Source organism: Homo sapiens, chromosome 10, assembly GCF_000001405.40.
Source record: "Homo sapiens chromosome 10, GRCh38.p14 Primary Assembly".
Classification (NCBI taxonomy): Eukaryota; Metazoa; Chordata; class Mammalia; order Primates; family Hominidae; genus Homo; species Homo sapiens.
The window spans coordinates 28,175,320-28,199,096 of record NC_000010.11 but is presented as its reverse complement, the minus strand read 5'-3'; the positions used below and the strand labels follow the sequence as shown (position 1 = coordinate 28,199,096).

Genomic DNA, 23,777 nt, shown 5'->3' with positions numbered 1-23,777 from the left:
CTTGGCTCTCATCCTCTCTTGCTTACCACGATGTAAGATGTGCCTTTCGCCTCTGCCATGAGTGTGATGCTTCCCCAGCCGCATGGAACTGTGAGTCCATTAAATCTCTTTTTCTTTATAAATTACCCAGTCTCAGGTATGTGAAAACTGACAAATACACATATCTGTGGGATGGAAATACATTGTTTATGAGGGTGGAAATAGAAGGATATCAGAATTCACATGAACTAGGGAATGGCATAGACCATCAGCAAGGGTAGAGCTGCATCCAGGACCCATCTCTTGCAAATATCCAGGACCATATATTTTGTATCCCAACCTCATTTCTAGATGTAGTTTCTATTCTTGTGGATTCTTTTTTCCTATTGAGATCTCTTTACTTATTTTACATTTTATTTTTTTTAGTTATGTTTCTGTGTGTTTTTGTAATCTGGTTTAAGTTCATTTTAGAACAAGATATGGCACAAAAACTTGCTTAAATACTATATTTCTTTCTTTCTTTTTTTTTTTTTTAAATTCTCTGAGACAGAGTTTTGCTCTGTTGCCCAGGCTGGAGTGTAATGGTGCAATCTTGGCCCACTGCAACCTCTGCCTCCTAGGTTCAAGTGATTCTCATGCCTCAGCCTCCTAAGTAGCTGGGACTGCAGCCGTCTGTCACCAGTCCCGGCTAATTTTTGTATTTTTGGTAGAGACAGGGTTTCACCATGTTGGCCAGGCTGGTCTTGAATCCTGACCTAAGGGATCCACCTGCCTCGGACTCTCAAAGTGTTAGGACTACAGGTGTGAGCCACTGCGCCTGGCCTATATTTCTTTTAAATAAGGCTGTAGTTCTGTTTTCTCCAGAAATCTTTGTTTTTAACTCACAACTATGTTAGATTTCTAGGATAAGAATATGGAATTGTTAGTACCTTTTAAATGGTTGTGTTATGTTTACCCCTACCCTTTAAAGTAATTGTGTGTATATTTGGGAACAGGAGGAAAAAATGTAGCAATCTGAATTTTATTCTTTTTGGTATTTTGAAGTATTTCAACAAACCCAAATTGATATTTTCCAGATAATTTTCCTCATATGATTGAATTATTGTGTGTGTTTCTGTGATTTCAGCCTTATACAAGTAATGATAAATACTCAGACCCCTGTAACATCTGGTTACATTGTTTTAGCTTTGCATATTTTTTAATTTTGGGGGTTACATAGTAGGTATATATTTTTATGGAGTATACAATATATTTTGATACCAGCATGCAATATAATAATCACATCAGGGTAAATGGGGTATCCATCACCTCAAGCATCTATTTAACTTTGAGTTTTGATGGACTGATTGATACTATTTGTTGGGTACATACTCTATGCCAGTTACTATATGGACCACTAGGGCCAAGATGTTCAACTTGGTGGGCACAATCCCTTGCCTGTGGGGGCTCCAGTCTCCCAGAGAGTTTATAAATGAAGGGATGGATGATTACAGTATTCTAAGATAGGCCTCATTTGGAGCTTTTTAGGAGAGACACAAGGTACCTCACTCAACACTAGCCTCAGAGGGGGCGGTTCATGGAGGATTTGGTATCTTAAGTTGGAACCTGCATTCGGTATAGGAGTTGCTCAGGTTAGGCTGGGTGTGGTGGCTCATGCCTGTAATCCCAGCACTTTGGGAGGCTGAGGCAGGTGGATCACTTGAGGTCAACAGTTCGAGACCAGCCTGGTCAAAATGGTGAAACCCTGTCTCTACTAAAAATACAAAAATTAGCCAGGCATGGTGGCACATTCTTGTAATCCCAGCTGCTTGGGAGGCTGAGGCATGAGAATTGCTTGAACCTGGGAGGCAGAGGTTGCAGTGAGCTGAGATCGTGCCACTGTACTCCAGCCTGGGCGACAGAGCAAGATTCCATCTCAAAAAAAAAAAAAAAAAAAGGAAGTTGCTCAGGTTAGAGTTTATGGGATGGATGAGGGCATGGGAGGTCAGGCAGAAGGAATAATGGATGCGAACACCTGGAGGCAAGAGCGAACAATCCACCTTTAGGATTGAGGTCAACAGATTGTTTTGGCTGATCTGTGACACCAGGAAGGCTGTGGGCAGCCAAGGGTGGCAGGAGAGATGAACAGTGACCTGTTCTTGAATAGCTTTGTAAACGACAGAAGGTAAATGGGCTTTCTTCTAAGAGAGTGGGAACCATTGCATGGAAAGGTTTCAAGAACAGTGAAGATATCAGGTTTTTCTTTTAGAGGTAAACAGTGAAGACTGGATGGGACATGAGATTCCCAGGTCAGAGATGATGGTGGCAAAGTGTTGGAAGAGCCACTGATTTTAGTTTGAGAGAGGGAGGCTGATGTTCAGTGTGCTCTCATCTGCCTGTGGGCTCTTCATTGAAATATGAAACTCTCCTGTTGTAAGCCACCAACTATTGTTTATGCCAGGCCATTGCGGGTTGGAAGAGGATACCAGGAGACCTGTATAAGCCCTAAGATACCAATACCAGGTACCAGTTCTTATATATTTTGACCATCTCCTCAGAGGAGATGAGAGGTAATTTTAGTTTTGGTTATGTTTGATATCTGGGGCATAATCAAATAGAGCTACTTATTGGATGTGTGAATCTTTTTTTTTTTTTTTTCGAGATGGAGTCTCGCTGTGTCACCCAGGCTGGAGTGCAGTAGTGTGATCTCGGCTCACTGCAACCTCTGCCTCCTGGGTTCAAGGGAGTCTCCTGCCTCAGCCTCCCGTGTAGCTGCAATTACAGGCACCTGCCCCCACGCCCAGCTAATTTTTATACTTTTAGTGGAGATGGGTTCCACCATGTTGGCCAGGGTGGTCTTGAACTCCTGACCTTGGGTGATCCACCTGCCTTGGCCTCCCAAAGTGCTGGGATTACAGGCATGAGCCACCGCATCTGGCCTGGATATGTGAATATTGAACTGAGGATAATTATGTTCTGGATTGGACAGAATAGATTTGGGAGTAGGGGTGCCAGATAAAATGCAGGACATCCTCTTACAGTTGAATTTCAGATATGCAATGAATGGTCTTTGTTATAAGTGTGAACCATGCAATATTTGTATTTTCATTACTGAAATCTGACAGCTCTTATTTGGGAGTCATCAACGTTTAGAAGGTAACATTCTTTTGGGAACAGATTTGTTGAGCTATATAATTCACCTACTGTCAAATCACCCACTTAAAACATACAATTCAGTGGTTTTTAGTATATTCACAGGATTGTGCAACCATTGCCAAAATCAATTTTATTTATTTTGTTTATTTTGTTCTTTTCCTATCCCCACAATCAGTTTTAGAACCTTTTTATCACCTCAAAAATAAATCCTTCACCCCTAGCCATCATTCTTCAATCCTTGCATTCTCTCTCCCATCCCATCCCTAAACAACTGCCAGTCTACTTTCTGTCTCTATGTATTTGCCTATCCTGGAAATTTCATATAAATGGCATCATCTGTGGCTTTTTTGTAACTGACTTCTGTCACTTAGCTTAATGTTTTCAAGGCTCACCCAAATTATAGCATGTATCAGTACTTAATTCCTTTTTATGACTGAATAACATTGTATGGCTATATCACACTTCGTTCATCCTTTCATCCATGGATGGACATTTGGGTTGTTTCTGCCTATTGGCTGTTATGGTGATGCTACTAAGAACATTTGTGTATAAGTTATTGCATAGATGTATATTTTCACTTCTCCTGGGTATGTATCTAGGAGAGGAATTGCTAGGTTAAATGGTAGCTCTAAGTTTTTATGAAGACCTGTTAGACTATTTTTCTAAGTGGCTGAACCATTTTATATTCCCACCAGCAGTGTATAAGGGTTCTGATTTGTCTGTATCTTCACCAACATTTGTTTTTATCTGACTTTTTGATTCTTACTGTCCTGGTGGGTATGAAGTGGTACCTCATTGTGATTTTGATTTGCATTTTCTAGATGTCTAAATAATGTTAACCATCTTTTCATGTGCTTATTGGCTATTTGTATGTCTTCTTTGGAGAAATGTCCAATTGGATCCTTTGCCCATCATTTCTCCCATTGGATTCTTTTTAATTAATAAACTTTACTTTGTAGAACTGTTTTGGATTTACAGAAAAATTGAGCAGATGGTACAGATAGCTCCCATATCCCCCTTCTCCCCTTCCCAGTTTCTCTTATTATTTACCTCTTGCATTGGCATGGTACATTTGTCAATTAACGAACCAATGTTGGTTGATACATTATTATTAATTGAACTCCATTATCTACATTAAGGTTTATTCTTTGTGTTGTATACTTCCAGGTTTTGACAAATGCATTATGTCTTGCATCTATTATTACATTGTCATGAAGAATAGTTTTACGTTTCCAAATCTCCCATGCTTTACCTGTCCTCCCTCCCCAGCTCAGCAATCACTGATAGTTTTACTGTCTGAATAGTTTTGCCTTTTCCAGAAGGTCATATTGTTGGAATAATACAGTATGTAGCCTTTTCAGATTGGCTTCTTTTACCTAGTAATATGCATTTAGGGCTCCATCAAGTCTTCTCATGGCAACATAGCCCATTTCTTTACTTTGTATTGCTGAATAGGATTTAGTTGTAGATAAGCACCATAGTTTGTTTCTCCATTAACCTTTTGAAGGGCATGTTCATTGCTTCCAGTTTTGAGCAGTTACAGGTAAACTTTCTATAAACATTTGTGTGCAGGTTTTTGTGTAGATGTAAGTTTGCAACTCATTTGGATAAATATCACGGAGCACAGTTACTGGATCATGTGGTAAGACTAGCTTTTTAAGAAACTGCTGGCCAGGTGTGGTGGCTCATGCCTGTAATCCCAGCACTTTGGGAGGCCGAGGCGGGTGGATCACCAGGTCTGGAGTTCGAGACCATTCTGGCCAACATGGTGAAACCCTATCTCTACTAGAAATACAAAAAACTAGCCAGGTGTGGTGGCACGCGCCTGTAGTCCCAGCTACTTGAGAAGCTGAGGCAGAAGAATCGCTTGAATCCAGGAGGCGGAGGTTGCAGTGAGTTGAGATTGTGTCACTGCACTCCAGCCTGGGTGACAGAGTGAGACTCTGTTTCAAAAACATTTCAAAAACAAACAAACAAAAAGAAGCTGCCATATTGTCTTTTAAGGTGACTGTACCATGTTGAATTCCTACCAGCAATGAGTGAGAGTCCCTGTAGCTCTATAGCCTTGTCAGCGTTTGGTGTGGTCATTTTTTTTTTTTTTTTAATTTTAGCCATTCTAGTTGGTGTATAGTAGTATCTCATTATTGTGTCAATTTGCACATGGTAGGTTAAGCATATCTTCACACGTTTATTTTTTATCTATACATCTTCTTTGCTGAGGTGTCTATTCAGATTTTTTGCTTATTTTTATTTTTATATTCCTGTTGTTGAGCTTTAACAATTCTTTGTATTTTCTAGATGCAAGTCTTTTATCAGATATGTATTTGCAAATATTTTCTCCCAGTTTGTCTTTTCATTGTCTTAGTGGTGTCTCTCACAAAGCAGAAGTTCCACATTTTACTAAAGTCTAACTTACAGATTTTTTCTTTCATGGATTGTGCTTTTGGAATTATATCTAAAAACTCATTGTCAGGCCAGTCATGGTGACTCACGCCTGTAATCCCGGCACTTTGGGAGGCCGAGGCGGGCGGATCATGAGGTCAGGAGATTGAGACCATCTGGCTAACATGGTGAAACCCCGTCTCCACTAAAAACATAAAAAATTAGCCAGCAGTGGTGACGGGCGCCTGTAGTCCCAGCTACTCGGGAGGCTGAGGCAGGAGAATGGTCTGAACCCGAGAGGCAGAGCTTGCAGTGAGCTGGGATCGTGCCACTGCACTCCAGCCTGGGCGACAGAGCGAGACTCCGTCTCAAAAAAAAAAAAAAACAAAAAACCAACCAAACAAAAAAACCCAAAAAAACTCATTGTCAAACTCAAGGTCACTTAGATATTCTTGTGTTATCTCCTAGAAGTTTTACAGTTTTGCGTTTACATTTAGCTCTATTGTCCACCTTGAGTTCTATGTCTAGATTAAAATGTCTGCATATGAATATCCAATTGTTTTAGCATCAATTGTTGAAAAGACCATTCTTTTTCTATTGAATTGCCTTTGATCCTTTGTCAAAGATTAGCTTCTATATCTGTGGGTCTATTTTTGGGTAATTGTGTTCCATTATCTATTTGTTTATACTTTCATCAACACATGCTGCCTTGATTACCTTAGCTTTATAGTTAGTTTTGAAGTAGGGTAGCGTCAGCCCTCAGACTTTGTTCTTCTTTGATACTGTGTTGACTATTCTGAATCTTTTGCCTTGTCATATAAACTTTATAATCAGTTTGTCATATCCACAAAATAATCTGCTGGGATTTTGATTGGGACTGTGTATTCTATGGCTCCATTTGTGAAGAGATGACATCTTAGTAATATTGTGTATTCCTGACCATGAACATGGAATATTCCTCAATTTATTGAGATCTTGTTTGATTTCTTTTACCAGAGTTTGTGTTTTCCTTATTTAGATTCTCTGCACACTATATTTTGTTAGATTTATACCTAAATGTTTTATTATTTTTGGTGCTATGGCTTTGGAGTGGTATTATATTTTTAATTTCAAGTTTCAGCTGTTCAGCACTGGTATACAGGAAAGCAATTGATTTTTGGATGTTAAGCTTCTGTCTTGCATCCTTGCTATAATCGTTTGCTTGTGGCCAAGGTCTTTTGCTGTTGTTGATTCTTTGGGATTTTCTCATCTGTAAACAAAGACAGTTTTGTTTATTTGTTCTCAATCTGTATATATCTTTTTTTGTCTTATAGCATTAGCTAGGAATTCTCATATAGTGTTGAATAGCTGTGGTGAAAACAGACATCTTTTCTTTATACTGATCTTAGGGAAAATTAAGTATGATTTTAGCTGTAGGTATTTTATACATGTTCTTCATCAAGTTGAGAAAGTTCTTTCTATTTCCAGTTTGCTCAGAGTTTTTATTGTGAATGGGTACTGATTTTTTTTTTTTTAAAGGCAGAGTCTTACTTTGTCACCCAGGCTGCCTCTGGGGTTCAAGCGATTCTCGTGCCTCAGCTTCTCAAGTAGCTGGGATTACAGGTGTGCGTCACTACGCCTGGCTAATTTTTGTATTTTTAGTAGAGATAAGGTTTCATCATGTTGGTCAGGCTGGTCTTGAACTCCTGATCTCAAGTGATCCACCTGCCTTGGCTTCCCAAAGTGCTGGGATTATAGGCGTGAACCACTGCACCCAGCCTTAAAAATATTTTTGCTTCTGTTGATATGATCATATGATTTTCTTGTTTAGCATATTGATGTGATAGATTACATTAATTTACTTATGAATGTTTAACTAGATTTTGCAGACCTGGAATGAGTCTTATTTGGTCGTGGTATTGGTTGAGGATTCCTTATCCAAAAGGCTTGTGATCTGAAAGAAGTGTTTTAGATTTTAGATTGTTTTGAATTTTGGGACATTTGCAGATTTTTAACTAGTTAAGCATCCCTGATTTGAAAGTCCAGAATCTCAAAGTGCTCCAGTGAGCATTTCTTTGAGCATCATGTCCTTGTCAGCACTCAAAAAGTATCAGATTTTGGAGCATTTCAGATTTCAGAGCATTTTGGATTTCAGGTTTTTGGATTTGGGATGCTCAATCTGTATATAATTAATTTGATCTATTGCTGGGTTCAACTTATTAATATTTTGTTGAGTTTTTTTGCATCTCTGTTTGTAAGTACGGTTAGGCTGTAATTCTCCTTCCTTGTCATGTCTTTATCTGGTTTTGATAATAAGATAATGCTGGCCTCGTAGAATGAGGTAGGAAGTATACTCTGCTTGCTATTTTCCTTTTCTTTCTGGAAGAGATTGCAGAGAATTGGTATAATTTCTCCCTTAAGTGTTTTGTAGAATTCACCAGTGAAGCCATCTGGACCTGGTGCTTGCTGTTTTGTAAGTTAACTAGTTATTGATTCAATTTATTTCATAAATATAGGCTTATTCAGATTTGTGTTTCTCCTTTTGTGAGATTTTGTCACTCTTGTCTTTCAAGGAATGGTGTATATCATCTAACTTATCAAATTTGAGGGCATAGAATTGTTCATCACAATTCTTTATTGTCCTTTTATTGTCCTTGGCATCAGTACTGTTGACTCCTCTTTCATTTCTGATATTCGTAATTTGTATCTTATCTCTTTTTTCCCTGGCTATAGATTTATCAATTTTATTAATCATTTAAAAGAACTTGCTTTTGATTTTGTTGATTTTTCTCTGTTTTTTTTTGTTCCAGTTTCATTAATTTTTGCTCTTATTGTCTGATTTCTTTTCTTCTACTTGCTCTTCTTTTTCTGGTTTCCAAAGGTTGGAAAGTTAGATTATCAATTTTAGATTTTTCTTTCTTTTGAATGTATTCTTTCAGTGGTATAAATTCTAACCACTGCTTTTGCAGCATCTCACAAGTTTTAGTAAGTTGTATTTTCATTTCCACTTAATTTAAAATATTCTTGAGAATTCTTCTTTGACCCATGTGTTATTTAAAATGTTGTCCAATTTCCAAATATTTAGAGATTTTCCTGCTGTCTTTCTGTTACTGATTTCTAGTTTAATTCCATGTGGTCTGAAAGCACATGCTGTATGGTTTTTGTTCGTTTAGATTTAAGTTGTGTTTAATGGCCCAGGATGTGGTCTATCTTGCTGAATGGTCTATGTGAGCTTGAGAAGAATGTGTATACTGCCATAATTGGATAAAGTATTCCATAAATGTCAGTTAGATTTGGTTGGTAGATTGTGCTGCTCAGTTCAACTATATCCTTACAGATTTTTTTTTTTGCCTGCCGGATCTGTCAATTACTGACTGATAGCGGGTGTTGAAGTTCCAAGTATAATAGTGACTTCATGCATTTCTCTGTAGTTTTATCAGTTTTGCTTTATGTCTTTTGATGCTTTCTTTTTAGGTGCATACACATTTAGGATTGTTATGTCTTCTTGGGGAATTGATGCCCTTTTCATTATGTAATACCTTTATCTCTGATAATTTTTTCTAGTTCTGCCAATTTGCCATGTTGGGAATTGACATATGTACTCCATCTTTTTTGGGTTAATGTTAGTGTATCTTTCTCTACTTTTTTCTTTTCGTGTGTCTGTATCTTTATGTTCAATGTGAGTTTTTTATAGACAACATATAGTTGGGAGTTGGGTCTTTCTTTTTATCCATTCTGACAGTCTCTGTTTTTTAATTGGTATATTTAGATCATTCACATTTGAAGTGTCTGTTGATATAGTTGGTTAATATTTACCATATTTACAACTGATTTCTGTTCACTGCACTTGTTAGTTTCTAAGATTTTAATTATCCTGTCTTTTCCTTCCTTCTCTGCTTTTAGTTGACCATTTTATATTATTCCATTTACTCTCTTCTTTTATCAAATCAATTATACTTAATTTTTTTTTTCTATGTGTGCTTGCCCTACAGTTAGCAACACACATTTACAACAAATACAGGTTTTTTTTTTTTTTTTTTTTTTTTTTTTTGAGACAGGGTCTTGCTCTGTCTCCCTGGCTGGTGTGCAGTGGTGTTATCTTGGCTCATTGCAGCCCTGATTTCCCAGGCTGAAGTATTTCTCCCACTTCTCAACCTCCCAAGTAGCTGGAAGTACAGGCGTGCGCCACCATGCCCAGCTAACTTTTTTTTTGTATTTTTTTGTAGAGACAGGGTTTTGCTGTGTTGCTTAGGCTGGTCTCAAACTCCTGGGCTCAAGTGATCCTCCCGCCTTAGCCTCCCAAAGTGCTGGGATTACAGGCATAAGCCACCATGCCTGACCTAGGTCTATTTTCAGATAACACTGTCATTTCACAGGTAGTACAGGTACCTTATAACAGAGTATTCTCAATTCCCTTTTTCCTATCTCTTATAACATTTCTGTCATTCATTTTACTTATCTCTATGCTAATGTAATCCCCCAGTACTTTGCTAATATTATTACTCTGAACAGTTATCTATTAGATCAATTAAGAATAAAACAAATAAAATATTTTGCTTTATATTTATTTATTTTTTCTCTGATGTCCTTCCTTTTTTTTGTGTAGATCCGAGGGTCTGACCTACATGATTTTCTTTCTCTCTGACAAACTTCCTTTTTAACACTTCTTGCAAGGCAGGTCTACTGGTTGCAAATTCCTTGAGTTTTTGTTTGTCTGAAAAAGTTTTTATTTCTCCTTCACTTTTGAAGTGTAATTCCATTAGATACGGAAGTCCAGACTGGCATTTTTTTTTTCCGTCAACACTTAAAATATTTCAGTCCACTCTCTTTTTGCTTGCGTGGTTTCTGATGAGAAGCCTGAAGTAATTCTTATCCTTGTCCTCTAGAGGTAAAGTATTTTTTCCCTCAAGCTTCTTTCAAGATGTTTGCTCTCTAGCAGTAGTCTTCAATGGGCTTTACTTCTGAACTTGAAAACTTTACAAATTCAACTAAGGTAAACTTTGCTTACTATTTTGGTCCTTTTCACTCAAAGACATGGAAGCCTTATCAGAGGCCTCCATATTCCTCAGTAGATGATCTCATGATAATGTTATGATTAATCTTTTTTCTTTTCCCCTACAAATGGAAAAGTCCTTTGTCTATTAGCCTATTATAAGCACAGGAGTACATATCATGCGACTTGGAAGTGCCATGATAACCTCTTAATTGCCTACCCCTTTACCTTAATAAAGATGAACACTTTTTTCAGGTAAGATAAATTCCTAGTTTTATTAGCTATAATTTAAAAGGAATGCCCACTATTTAATATCAAGAGTAATTTTTAATTCAAAATATACAATTTATCTTCTTAAAAATGCCCTGAAGTCTTGTTTTTAATGAAACCTATGAAGTCGCGGGCATATTAGTCACCTAGGAGAAGTGAAGTATGAGAGATGACACTTGGTGGGAGTTTATTTTGAATCTCCATATTAATATGAATTCGTAAAGTGAAATTAATGCTCATGAATTTAGGTTGAATTCTCAAAGGGAAAAATCTTCTTAATCTTGAGTCTAAATAAATCCTGAACAGAGGCTCATAGAGCAACCTGTGAACAAGAATATACTTTTGAAGTTTTATTTCTCCAACCTGGAAATTTCAGAAAGTGAAAAACCAGTTTGAAGGTAATTCTTGATCTTCATCTTTCAATAACTCAGATTTTCTTACTAAAATTAGCACTATGAGATTTGCATAGAAAGTAGTTATTTCCAGGATAATCGATCCAGTCAAGGTATTTTAAAAAGAGGGATAATTTTATTGAGGAATGGTTTTATAAACTCTTTTTGGTTCAAGCACTTTTAAGTTCCTCACCTTTTAATCTAGAAGCAACAAAAAGCATCATACTTGCGGGCAAAAGGAGATATTTACATATTAGTGAATCAGATTCAAGGCTGAAGAACTATTAATATTTTATAAGATACTCATGGAATAGGCCCTTTTAGAAACAGTGCTGTTTGGGGAAGGGAGAGGTGGTATTAAGTTTAGAGAGTAAACCCATTGGGGAGGTTACGTTACTTGCCTCTGACATATCATTTGCTTTGGGTGGGAGGAAAAACAAAAAGACAGCCAGACATTGCGAATGATCCATGGCCACCTGGTCTGACAGAGCGGAGACTTGGGTAGCAGCAGCTGGTAACGCTCCTTGGCCAATCAAAGGTAATTGTCAGGCCAGCTCTGTTGGAAAAGCCAGATGAAGTTATTTCTTACGTTATAGTTTACATTTTTTCAGGCACAGAAACATGTAAAGTCTGCTGAAGAATTCCTGAGACCCTGAGTAAATTGTTGCCTTTGTAATTCATACTCTAAAAATGGTGGCCATATGTTGCCCTTTTCAGAGATTTCCTTGAGAGTAAGGATGAGAAATTGGGAGCCATATTTGTGAATATTTAGTGCGACTGTGCCCTCCCGCGTGGTCTACATTTATGTAATGTAACAGTCAAGTTATTGTGAGATTTACATGGTGATTCAAATATACTTAGTTTCAGAACAACCGTCTTATATTTATTCATAATTTCGTAATAGGAAGTCTATATGCTCTACCAGAATGAATGTGGGGAGTTTCTTACCTAGAAATCTCTGACTTAAGAACAGTTCATTCATTAGAATGTATGGAATCAGGAAATTTGTAACACTTATTTCCCTTTTTGGGCAATTCCTGCTGTTCTCTAATTCCAGAGGATAGGAATTCCAGTAGGGAAACATCTAGCTTCTCTAGGTATTATACCTAACAGTGGAGTCTCTGGGCTACAGAGATGAGCGTTTCCCACTGCAGTAGGTCTTAACCAAATTGCTCTACTAAGTGAATTGACTGGCTCAGTGAAATGTATATTTACAATTCTGGGACCTTGGGTCATCTCCCTTTATCACCCGCATTTCTGGATTGTGCTATTTTTGGATATCTGGCTTTAATGCCATGACAGGTGGCACTTCACGTCCTATTGCCACAAAGGTGTTGGGCAGTGCAGTGTGGTCCTGACATTCCCAGTTGGTTCTCAAAGTCCATTTCCCACAGCAAATTGTAGAACCATTGGCAGCAAATAAACCTCCAATGTTTGTTTTCATCTATAGTAAAATGATTTTAAAACGTCACAGTTCTTGCCATCTACAACTTCCTTGGAGGCTATCCTTGTTTTATTTTATTTAAAGTAAATTATTTTTAAAGTATAGAACTGAATTATAATAATTTCAAAATAGGCTGTTTTCTCTCTCTCTCTCTTTCTTTCTCTTTTTTTTTTTTCTGAGATGGAGTCTTGCTCTGTCACCCAGGCTGGAGTGCAGTGGTGCGATCTCAGCCCACTGCAACCTCCACCTCCTGGGTTCAAGCGATTCTCCTGCCTCAGCCTCCTGAGTAGCTGGGACTACAGGCGCCTGCCACCATGGCCAGCTAATTTTTGTATTTTTAGTAGAGACAGGGCTTCACCATTTTGGCCAGGCTGGTCTCGAACTTTTGGCCTAAGTGATCCACCTGCCTTAGCCTCCCAGAGTGCTGAGATTATAGGCGTGAGTCACCACTCCCGGCCAATACTGTATGCTTCTGATGGAAGTCAGCATGAAAGTGACTATCAGAGCTTTGGAAATGACAGGACGAATAACTCAAATTGAACAAGGGAGTGCTGTGGGATCTGCTGTGTCAAGGCTGTGTGGAGGCTAGTTCACACTTCTTGTGGTTGTGTAAAAAGGTATACAGGAATACACATTCTGCATAAGGAAAACTTAGTGTCAGCATGGAATTTCACATGATAGATTTAAACATGTTTTTGTGGGCTGGCTTGGAGGCCTATTCACCACCACATTTAATTATATTTCTAGAGCATGTGTTTGAAGATCTAAGAAAAAAATAAGAATTACGAGCACACTTTTTGTGTAAACTCTGCTTGATTTGGAGTGGAGGGACTGGATAATATTCACTGAAGTGTAGTTTGGAACTTTAGGCCTTTGGTTAATAATCATTAAATGATTGGATGTGTGAGTGTAATAATGTATGGCTGAAGGAGACAGGTAATTTCTAGAGAGAGGACAACGACTTCCATGATTCCTTCACATCAAATTGGGACCTTTTGCTGTCTGCATCCTGTTTTCTTTTGAGTCTAGTGATCATTTGCTTCTCATTGAGTCTGTCTATTCACCCTTTTGTGTTGTCTCAGTTATGGACAGTCAGGTATATTGAGTACTTTTCTGTGCTTCCAGAAACTCATGTCCCACCCTTTTGCAAAGAGGCAACTGTAGTCAGAATTCAGAGCTGGCATTGTGAGCCACATTGCTTGGACTCAGGTTCTGGCTGTGCCAAGAATAAGATAATAACTTATATTATTATCATAATAATGTAACAATATACAATTATATTTATCTTAATATATCATATTATACTATATTATATCATATAACAACATAATAATTTATAACTTATTTTCATCATAATAATTACATTATTAAAAAATATATAATATAGGCTGGTCTCGAACTCCTGACCTTAAGTGATCCACCTGCCTCAGCCTCCCAAAGTGCTGGGATTACAGGCATAAACCACTGTACCTGGCCAATGATATATTTATGATTATAAATACTATATATGATATAATAATTACATATTAATATATCAATTAATAAATAATATATTAAGATAAATATATTATATTATTACATTATGATATATAACAATATAATAACTTATAATAATTTGAAAGAACTTATTTTATATTACATTATAAAAAATCATAAAAATCATAATATATTAAGTTAAAATAAATAGATATGTTTACCTTAATATATTAATATGTAATATTAATATATATTAAGATAATATCTATATATAAATAATATATTAATGATATATATTAATTATATTACTATATATTAGGATAATATCTTTTCATTTTGGAGACAGAGTCTCACTCTATCACCCAGGCTGGAGTGCAGTGGCATGATCTCTGCTTACTGCAACCTCTGCCTCCCAGGTTCAAGTGATTCTTACGTGTCAGCCTACCGAGTAGCTGGGATTACAGATGCCCCTACAACGCCCAGATAATTTCTGTATTTTTAGTAGAGACAGAGTTTCACCATGTTGGCCAGCCTGGTCTCAAACTCCTGACCTCAAGTGATCTGCCCACCTCGGCCTCTCAAAGTGCTGGAATTACAGGCATGAGCCACCATGCCTGATCAAGATAGTATCTTAATATATTAATATTGTAATATATTAATAATATCTTGTGATATATATCATAATAATATATTAAGATAAAGATACATTTAATATGTAAAGATATATATTTTAATGTATAAATATATTTTTATATGTAAGATATATATCTTAACATGATGGAATATATCTAATATGTATTTTATAATAATATGTTAAGATAAAGGTATATTTAACATATAAAGATATATATATTTTGATATATAAAGACATAGATCTTAATATATACTAAGATAATATATCTTTATATGTAAGATATATATCTTAATATATTGTCTTTATATATAAATATCTTCTTATTTTACTTCACAGTGCCTCACTTTCCTTATATATTAGTGTAAAATGACGATAATAATAGTACCTACTTTGTGTGGTTGTTATAAGGATCAAAAGAATTGATAGATGAAATGTGCTTTAAATATTGTCTGGAACATATTAAGTCACCATCATTATCATCATCCTCATCCTCAATTTCTTTCTTTCTGTTAGCTGTGTTCCATGCTATACGCCAGGATTTGCACCATTTTCAGTATCCCTTTGGCTACATTGCTGCTTTTTCAGGATGATAGTTTCTTGTCTTAACAAACTTGTTTTTTTTTGAGATAGATTCTTGCTCTGTTATCCAGCCTGGAGTGCTGTGGAGCGATTGATTATAGGCCACTGCAGCCTCAACCTTTTGGGCTCAATGATCCTCCCTTCTCAGCTTTCCAAGTAGCTAGGACTACAAGTGCACAATACTGTGCCCAGCTAATTCTTTATTTTTTGCTGAGATGAGGTCTTGCTATGTTGCCCAAGCTGCTCCTGAACTCCTGGGCTCAGCAGCCCTCCTGCCTCAGCTTCCCAAAGTGTTGGGATTACAGCCATGAGCCACCACACCTGGCCTCTTAATAAACTTTTCTTCTGGCTTTTTTATTTCTTTGCTCTCACTCTTTTAAAATTACAGTGAAAATTAATAGTCTGTGATTAGAAATCTTTAAAAAGTTCTTGAGTTGGCTAAGTGTGTTTTCTAACTTTTCTTTCCCTTAAAATGTTATGAAATATTTTGGGCATTAAAAATGAGAACAATATACTGAACATCCATGTGTTCCAACACACAGCTTAAGAGAGAAAATATTGTAGATCCAGTTGAAGTCTGAACATCCCTCCTGTTCCCATTCTTTTCCTTTTCCTGCCAGTGATAACCTTCATCTTGAGTTTGTATTCACAATGTGAGATATTATTTCGTCTGTTTTAAAACTCTTATAAATAGAATCATATTTACATGACACATTCCTCTTTCCTCAACTTGCTCTTTTTTTGTTTGTTTGTTTGAGATGGCGTTTCGCTCTTGTTGCCCAGGCTGGAATGCAATGGCGTGATCTTGGCTCACCGTAACCTCCACCTCCCAGGTTCAAGCGATTCTCTTGCCTCAGCCTCCTGAATAGCTGGGATTATAGGCATGCGCCATCACGCCCGGCTGATTTTTGTATTTTTAGTAGAGATGGGGTTTCTCCATGTTGGTCAGGATGGTCTCGAACTCCTGACCTCAGGTGATCCACCCGCCTTGGCCTCCCAAAGTGGTGGGATTACAGGCGTGAGCCACTGCACCCGGCTCAATTTGCTCTTTTGCTTAACATTTTGTTAATGAAATTTATTGTATTTATGGTGATATAAATAGGTCTAATTCATTTGTTTACATTGCTATCTATGGCATTATGTGACTAGATAACAAATCATCTATTCTCATGTTGATGAATATTTGTATTGAAAGTTGGCTTGTGAGTACAAGAGTCATATGTCTGGAAATCATCTTTATCTCCATGTCACTATTGGGAACAGTATAGGAGATAACTTTTGTGTGGATTCCCCTTGTACACACATGCAGTCCCTTCTGTAAGTAACGTACCTAAGAATGGAGTTGCTGGACCATAAATATATACATCTTACACTTTAGTAGATATTGCCAAATTACTTTTCTAACGGATTGTATCATATTATAATCCAGGAGTTCCAATTACTTCACATTTATTTCAGCATTTTGAATTGTTAGACTTTAATTTTTGCCAACTTCCAATCCAGACCATTAATTAAAATACTTACCAACAGGATCAATTTGAAATACCATAATATCTCCTTGTTTTAGTTTATATTTATTTGAATATTAGGGGTTGAACATATGTTTGAGTCATTCCAGTTTCCTTTTTATATCCTTTGCTATTTTTTTTGCTTTGGTTATTTGTCTTTTTCTAGTTGATTCGTAGGAATTATTTTGTACATTCTGATGCTGGATCTTTGTTTATATGTATTGTAAATTATCTCCTGGTCTGGGCTCACTCCACTCTTTCCGATAATTTATCATAAGTGTTAAAACATACATCCATGCAGAAAGTCTTCTCTCTGTCTTAAATGCAGAAGCAAAGGCATCTTCACAGACTCACCATTTAACACAAAATCCTTATTAGCTCACTGGGTCTTACTGAAAGCATGTATGAGTCGGAGGTTTATGTAGCTCCTGGCCAAGTCTGAGGTCTGGTTTATTTTTATGTGCTGGCTCTAGCGGGGTCCTCTGGGACTGTTTGAACTGATCTAATATTCTCATTTGGTTGTAAGCATCTATAGAATGTATTTTTAGCACCTAGTCTAATTATGGGTATAGTTGTTCATTGAGTAAAGTTCTTTTCAGGCAGAATCTGTGTATAGTGTTTTTTTTGTTTGTTTATTCTGCGTTACCTCAAAGCGTAGTAGGTGTTCAAGGGAGATTGCCTGATTAAAGGAAACTGAATAACTTGCCCTTCCAGGCTCTGTCTTGCCCAGTTTGTTTTCCATTCATTTCACAAATACTTGAGTGCCCATCGTGGGGCACGATAATAGATGCTCACATCTCATTGGATTCATTTATTGAAGTATTATGGTTATTCACAAATAATTGATGAATGTAGTTTGATTTTTCAGTCAGCTCAAGTTGTGGCATAAGTTGCATCATCTTTATTACAGACAGATGATAGTTAATAAAGAAAGATATTTTTATCCACCTGGTTTAAAATGAAGTTTATTGTTGATATTTCTGCATGTCAATAAAATAGGAATTAGGAATGTTCTATGATGATCACGGTTTAACAATAATAGACTATCAAAGGAAATTACTGAATTAGATTGGTTTTATCATTCTTTCCATTTTCACGTAAAATACTTTAAATCTTTAACATTTTAAAATTGAGTATTTTTAAATGTTTCAAAATGTTATTTAAAATACTTTATTATAATTCTATAAGACATTAATGTAAATCTAATTTATTATAAAGAACCTAAAAGTAAAATTAATAAGCTTCTGTATATGTAAAATTAGTTGCAGGTGATCCATTCTGAATCAAAAAATTATTTTATATTTATCTACCCACCCATGGGTCCATCCATTCATCCATCCATCCATCCGTATATCCTGCAGTAGTGCTGTTTACAGGTACATGTAAGATTGCACTTCTCCACCTCTTGATGTTAGTTATGGCCACATGACTTGTTTAGTCAATAGAATGTGAGTGGGAGTGAAGTGTGTCACCGCTGGGCAGAAGCCTTTAGCAGTCAGTGCACTCTGTCTCTTCTTCCTACCCTCCAGCCCCCATTGCTGACTGCTGATGTTCCAGGTGGTGGGAGTTCTCCCCACCTGGGTCTGAGCACGTGGGCTTGTGGAGCAGAGTTCACAGAGGAAATGCAGTAGACAGAGAGTGTCTGGGGGAATATAAACTTTCGTTGTTATATGCTGCTAAGGTTTAGGCATTGCTTATTACCACAATATTATTTATAACTTAATTTTAACAAGTATTTTCACTATATTACATTTCAAATATATTTTTCAAATATGGCTTAGTGATGTAGAAATTAAAATAAATAGTTATTAACATTGCATGAGGCTAATTACTTTTAGGTAGTTGCTATTGATCTAACAGTTGCGCTGTAGAAAGTTCATATTCATTTTCTTGTCAAAACTTGGTAATTTTTACATTTTCTTCTTTGATAGACATGCATCTCCCCTCTGCAACCACTGTGGCAAGGCTTGAGAAAGGGTGATATGTCTTGTAAGATGTCCCTGTTTTACTTGATTATTCCAGTTTAATATTAATATATTAACCCAGGAGTGTGCTATCCTGGATACTTTTGATTTGTGTTTCCTTTCATCACTAATAAAACTAGAAGACAAATGTATCTACATTGTTCTTAGAGTCCCCTGTTTCATTACTACATTTCACAATTATTTTTGCTTAGCAAGCGAGGGCTATCAATATCAAAGTATAATACACCCCCTCCCTTCTGATAAAAAACTTTCCTATTTTTTTTGAAAGGCTTGAGTGTATCAAATGGTGTATTTTCATATGCAATTAGTGTTTTAATTGTACCTTTATTTTCTTTCTCACTTTGGAAGCATAGCATCTAGAATTGCTTTCTTCCTCATTGTTTTCATTTCTGTGTTCAGTTAAAAGCTAAATGAAAGGATGTTAACTGCCAACTTTAAAAATACATTTTATTTGTGAATTTCATTTGTTTAAATTGGAATGTTATAAATTATACAGATGGTAAAAATTTGATTTTCATTACTTGACAAAGTTGGCATGTATCTTTGTCTTTTAATTTGAATAAATATTTGGCTAGCCACTATTGTGTGCCTAGTAAATTTAGGTAGTGTTTCAAGCCACTTTTTAATATTATGTGCCTCCACTAGGTGGTGCTCATTCCTTCGGGACATCTGAGACCTAGCTTAAAGAATTTAGTTCTGTCACTGATGGGTTAAAGATAAAAGAAGCAAATTCAGGCCAAAGCAGTACGAAAAACTTGTGAAATTTTTTTATTTCATGTAATGAGTTGTGAAACTCTGTAGTAGAGGTATTTATTATTATTAATGTATGATATTTCCAAGAAATCAGTAATTTTATTATATGGCTCATTTATATAAAATGTATTTAAATAGTTATTATAGATTGTGTTAGATGATGGGGATGCAATGGTGAAAAACAGACACGGTGGTCTTAAACCATATGACTCTTGGAATCAACACTCAAGTAATCACTTGAGTAAGTGTGTAATTATTACTGAGATAGGGACAGGTTTTTGGTGCTTTGAGTGTATAAGGGGCAGAGAAGGGGGTATTTTCCAAGATTCTGGGAAGTTTTATTGAAGAACTGATCACTGATCTAGTTAAATAAGATCTGAAAGTTGCTGAAGAATTAACCAGTGTGAGTGTGTTGGAGGAGAAATTTCACAGTGATGAGGTTAGTGTGGGGTTGCAAGGAGTTCTTTATCTGCACCCCAGTCGTTGTAATGGTTGGATCCAATGGACCTTTTCAGTCCTGGAGACATCTGTTCTTCAGCTTTAATTTCTTGATAATTTCCTTCCCTCAGCTCTTCTCCTCTTCCATCTTTCTAGAAGTTCTTTTAGGTGAATATTGGCCTTTCTGGATTTTACCTTTGCTTTTAAAGAGATTTCTTCAACTTTTACTACATTTCTCTTTAAAATCTTAAAAATTCGCTGCTGCTATTTTAATTCCAGTACATTTGAGAAGAATGTCTCTGTTTCTTTTTTGTAACATCTTAGTCTCATTCCATGGATACACTATAGAATCTTTCTGAGGATAATTAAACAAAACAAAAGCCCCCTTTTTGTTGATTCTGTGTTCCATGAACTTTTCAAAGTTCTAAGTACCTTGTTTCTCTCTTCCAGCAACCCTTTAGATAGATATTAATCTTTACCCCATTGTAAAGATTAGAAGAATGAGGTACCACTTTGATTACACAGCCAGTTAGGTGGTAGAGCTGGTCTTGAACCCAGGTGGTCTGACTCAAGTTCTACATTTTTACTATCATGCTACTCTGCTTGTTGATGAGTATTCAGTAGAATGGTTTCGGTTTCATTTTCAATTCTCCTCATTTTGTTCACAATTTTTCTTTACTCTGGGACTTTTTTTTTCCTGTTTTGCCTGCTTGGTGTTTATCCTGTGGGGGCTTTCCTCAAATGTCTGCTTATTCTTGGTTGTCTGCCTGTGTTTAATAGTGAGTTGTTAAAAGAGCTGATTGGAAGATCTATGTGTTGGAGCAGGGCCTGGTGACAGGTGGAATCTCTGTAGAACAGTGGTTTTCGACTGAGTTGGATTCCTTCTCGCCTTTCCTGGTCATTTGGCAACATCTGGAGGCATCTTTGATGGTGATGACTTGAGGAGGGGGTACTGCTGGCATCTAGGAGAACAGCTCAGGGATGCTGCTGAACATCCTGCGATAGACAGGAAAGCCCCTCACAACAAAGAACTATTCAGCCTAAAATGTCAGTAGTGCCAGAACTTAAAAACTCTGCTTCAGAGGGAAAGGATGAAAAATCAGCTACTGTTGGTTACAGGAGGAGAGATTGCAAATCCCAGAATAAAGAGCCATTTTTCTCCATGGCTCTTCAGTTTTTTCATCAGAGAGACCTGGAATCTGCTGCCTGGGCCTTAGGTGGCTGGCTGCTTGACATTCTGGATCAGCCAAGGGAAAGGAGCCCCTCACAGTATTTAGGGTTTCAGCACCTGCATGCCTGGCATCCCTGATCCGCCAGCATGACAGTGTTCCCTGGGTCAAATTGTCTCTTTTAAACAATTCCCCACTTTGTCTGGTTCTATGCGGTGGCTTCCTTTTTCTAAAAATTTTTGAACTCTCTAGTCTTCTGTCTCATTTCTGTTATTTTTAATTTGAAAAATCATCTTAGTGCAACTTAGGATAGAGAAGAGATCCGTATCTTTAATCACTAAACTTTGTAATCATAATTTTTAGTGGCATTATTGTAATCCATCAACCGCTTATGCTATGGTTTATTTAATCATTTTCTTATCATTGTACAGAACAATTTTTCCTTATCAATTCTTAGGTTATTTTGAAATACAGCTTATATAGGAACAATTAATCTACGAATTTTCACAATGTTGTTTTGGTGCCCTTGCACCCTCCAAAAGTGAATCAGTAAGAACTCTTTTTTTTTTTTTTGAAATGGAGTCTCACTGCGTTGCCCAGGCTGGAGTGCAGTGGCGTGATCTTGGCTCACCACAACCTCTGCCTCCTTGTTTCAAGTGATTCTCCTGCCTCAGCCGCGCCACCATGCCTGGCTAATTTTTTTTTTTTTTTTTTTTTTTTGCATTTTTAGTAGAGTTGGGGTTTCACTATGTTGGCCAGGCTGGTCTCGAACTCATGACCTCATGATCTGCCTGCTTGGCCTCCCAAAGTGCTGGGATTACAGGCGTGAGCCACTGCGCCCGGCCAGAACTCTTTTTACTATCGGTATGAATACAAAGATTTTTGTATATTTGATGAGTTTTAGTCCACTGCAATTATTCTTGTTTTTTTCTTTTCTTTCTTTTTTTTTTTTAAATTATACTTTAAGTTCTAGGGTACATGTGCACAATGTGCAGGTTTGTTACGTATGTATACATGTGCCATGTTGGTGTGCTGCACCCATTAACTCATCATTTACATTAGATATATCTCCTAATGCTATCCCTCCCCCACCCCCCCACCCCACGACAGGCTCCGCTGTGTGATGTTCCCCGTCCTGTGTCCAAGTGTTCTCATTGTTCAATTCCCACCTATGAGTGAGAACATGTGGTGTTTGGTTTTCTATCCTTGCGAAAGTTTGCTCAGAATGATGGTTTCTTTTTTTTTAGACAGAGTCTTGCTCTGTTGCTCAGGCTGGAGTGCAGTTGCACAATCTCAGCTCACTGCAACCTTTGCCTCCTGAGTTCCAGCAATTCTCCTGCCTCAGCCTCCCTAGTAGCTGGGATTACAGGCATGTGCCATGACACCTGGCTAATTTTTTATTTTTATTTTTAATAGAGATGGGTTTCACCATGTTGGTCAGGCTGGTCTCAAACTCCTGGCCTTGTGATCCACCCACCTCAGCCTCCCAAAGTGCTGGGGATACAGGCGTGAGCCACCATGCCCAGCCAGTGCAATTATTATTCTTTTTGATGCTAAAATGACCCCAGCTTTGGCCATTGGGAGTGCCTTCAAGTTGACTCCTGTGTTTTGTTTTGTTTTGTTTTGTTTTGTTTTGTTTTTGACCCAACTGCACTGGGCTTTGATTGCTTCTTTGCTTTTTGGCCTGACAGGGTCTCTCAGGCTTATTTTACACATTTCCTGCCCCTGTATATTTTAAGGTAGATTTCTAGAATTGAGAATTGCAGTGATGCAATCTCAGCTCACTGCACCCTCTGCCCCCTGGGTTCAAGTGATTCTCAATTCTAGAATCTCTTGTTAAATACTGTATTGGTTCCTAACAGTGACCAATAGGAATTCCTTTACCCTGCTCTTCCCAACTTCTAATTTAAACTACTATATACTTTTTTAAAACTCCCAATTAAAGGTAATCAATGAACTTATTTACTTTACATATATTATTTCCCTTCTCTTCCTAATTTTTGGTAGTTGTATTTGACCTGCATTGCTAGATTCTAAAAAAGCTGCATTCTACTTTTTACTCTGCCCCATTGTTTAACTTTAGTTAAATACAGTATATTGATGGTAACTATCATTTCTTATCCAAAAGCTTCTCTGATTATTTCAGAAATTCATCCCCTAGTTGCTCTCCCATGGAGAGGGCTCAGGGAGCAATTTTCCCTGAGCTCTTACAAGTTTTTCTTGTGGTCTTTACATTAATAGTTGAAGATCAGTTTGTCTAAAGTTAAAATCCTTGGTTCATAGCTTCTTGTTTTGAATATCTTAAGTATCATACTTCTTCAGCTTCTGGTATAAAGTGTTCGTAAGTATGGTGTCAATATAACTTTCTTTCCTTTATAAGTGTTTTTGTCTTGATGTTTAAAGAATGTTTTTTAAAATTTCTGATTCTTAAAAAATATTTCTCAGTGTTGACTGTTTAGTATCAGTTTTCCCAGATATTCAGTATGTTCTTTTAATCATGTATGTTCACATACTTTTATTTCATGGCATTTTAAAAAAATTCCTGCAGAACCCCAAAATGTACCCTCCTCTCCCCCATCTTCTTGCTCCTTTACTTCAAACTCTACTTCCTAAGTAAATCACTCGGCTCACTTTAAAGTTTATGGGTGGTTTGCCTGTTCT

General features: G+C 37.0%; 1 protein-coding gene across 17 annotated transcripts in view; it reads left to right on the top strand.

Moving 5' to 3' along the window:
* The window catches only part of MPP7 (MAGUK p55 scaffold protein 7), a 284,211-nt gene that overhangs the window by 136,107 nt on the left and 124,327 nt on the right, over nt 1–23,777 (top strand). The gene's annotated exons all lie outside the window — the stretch shown is intronic.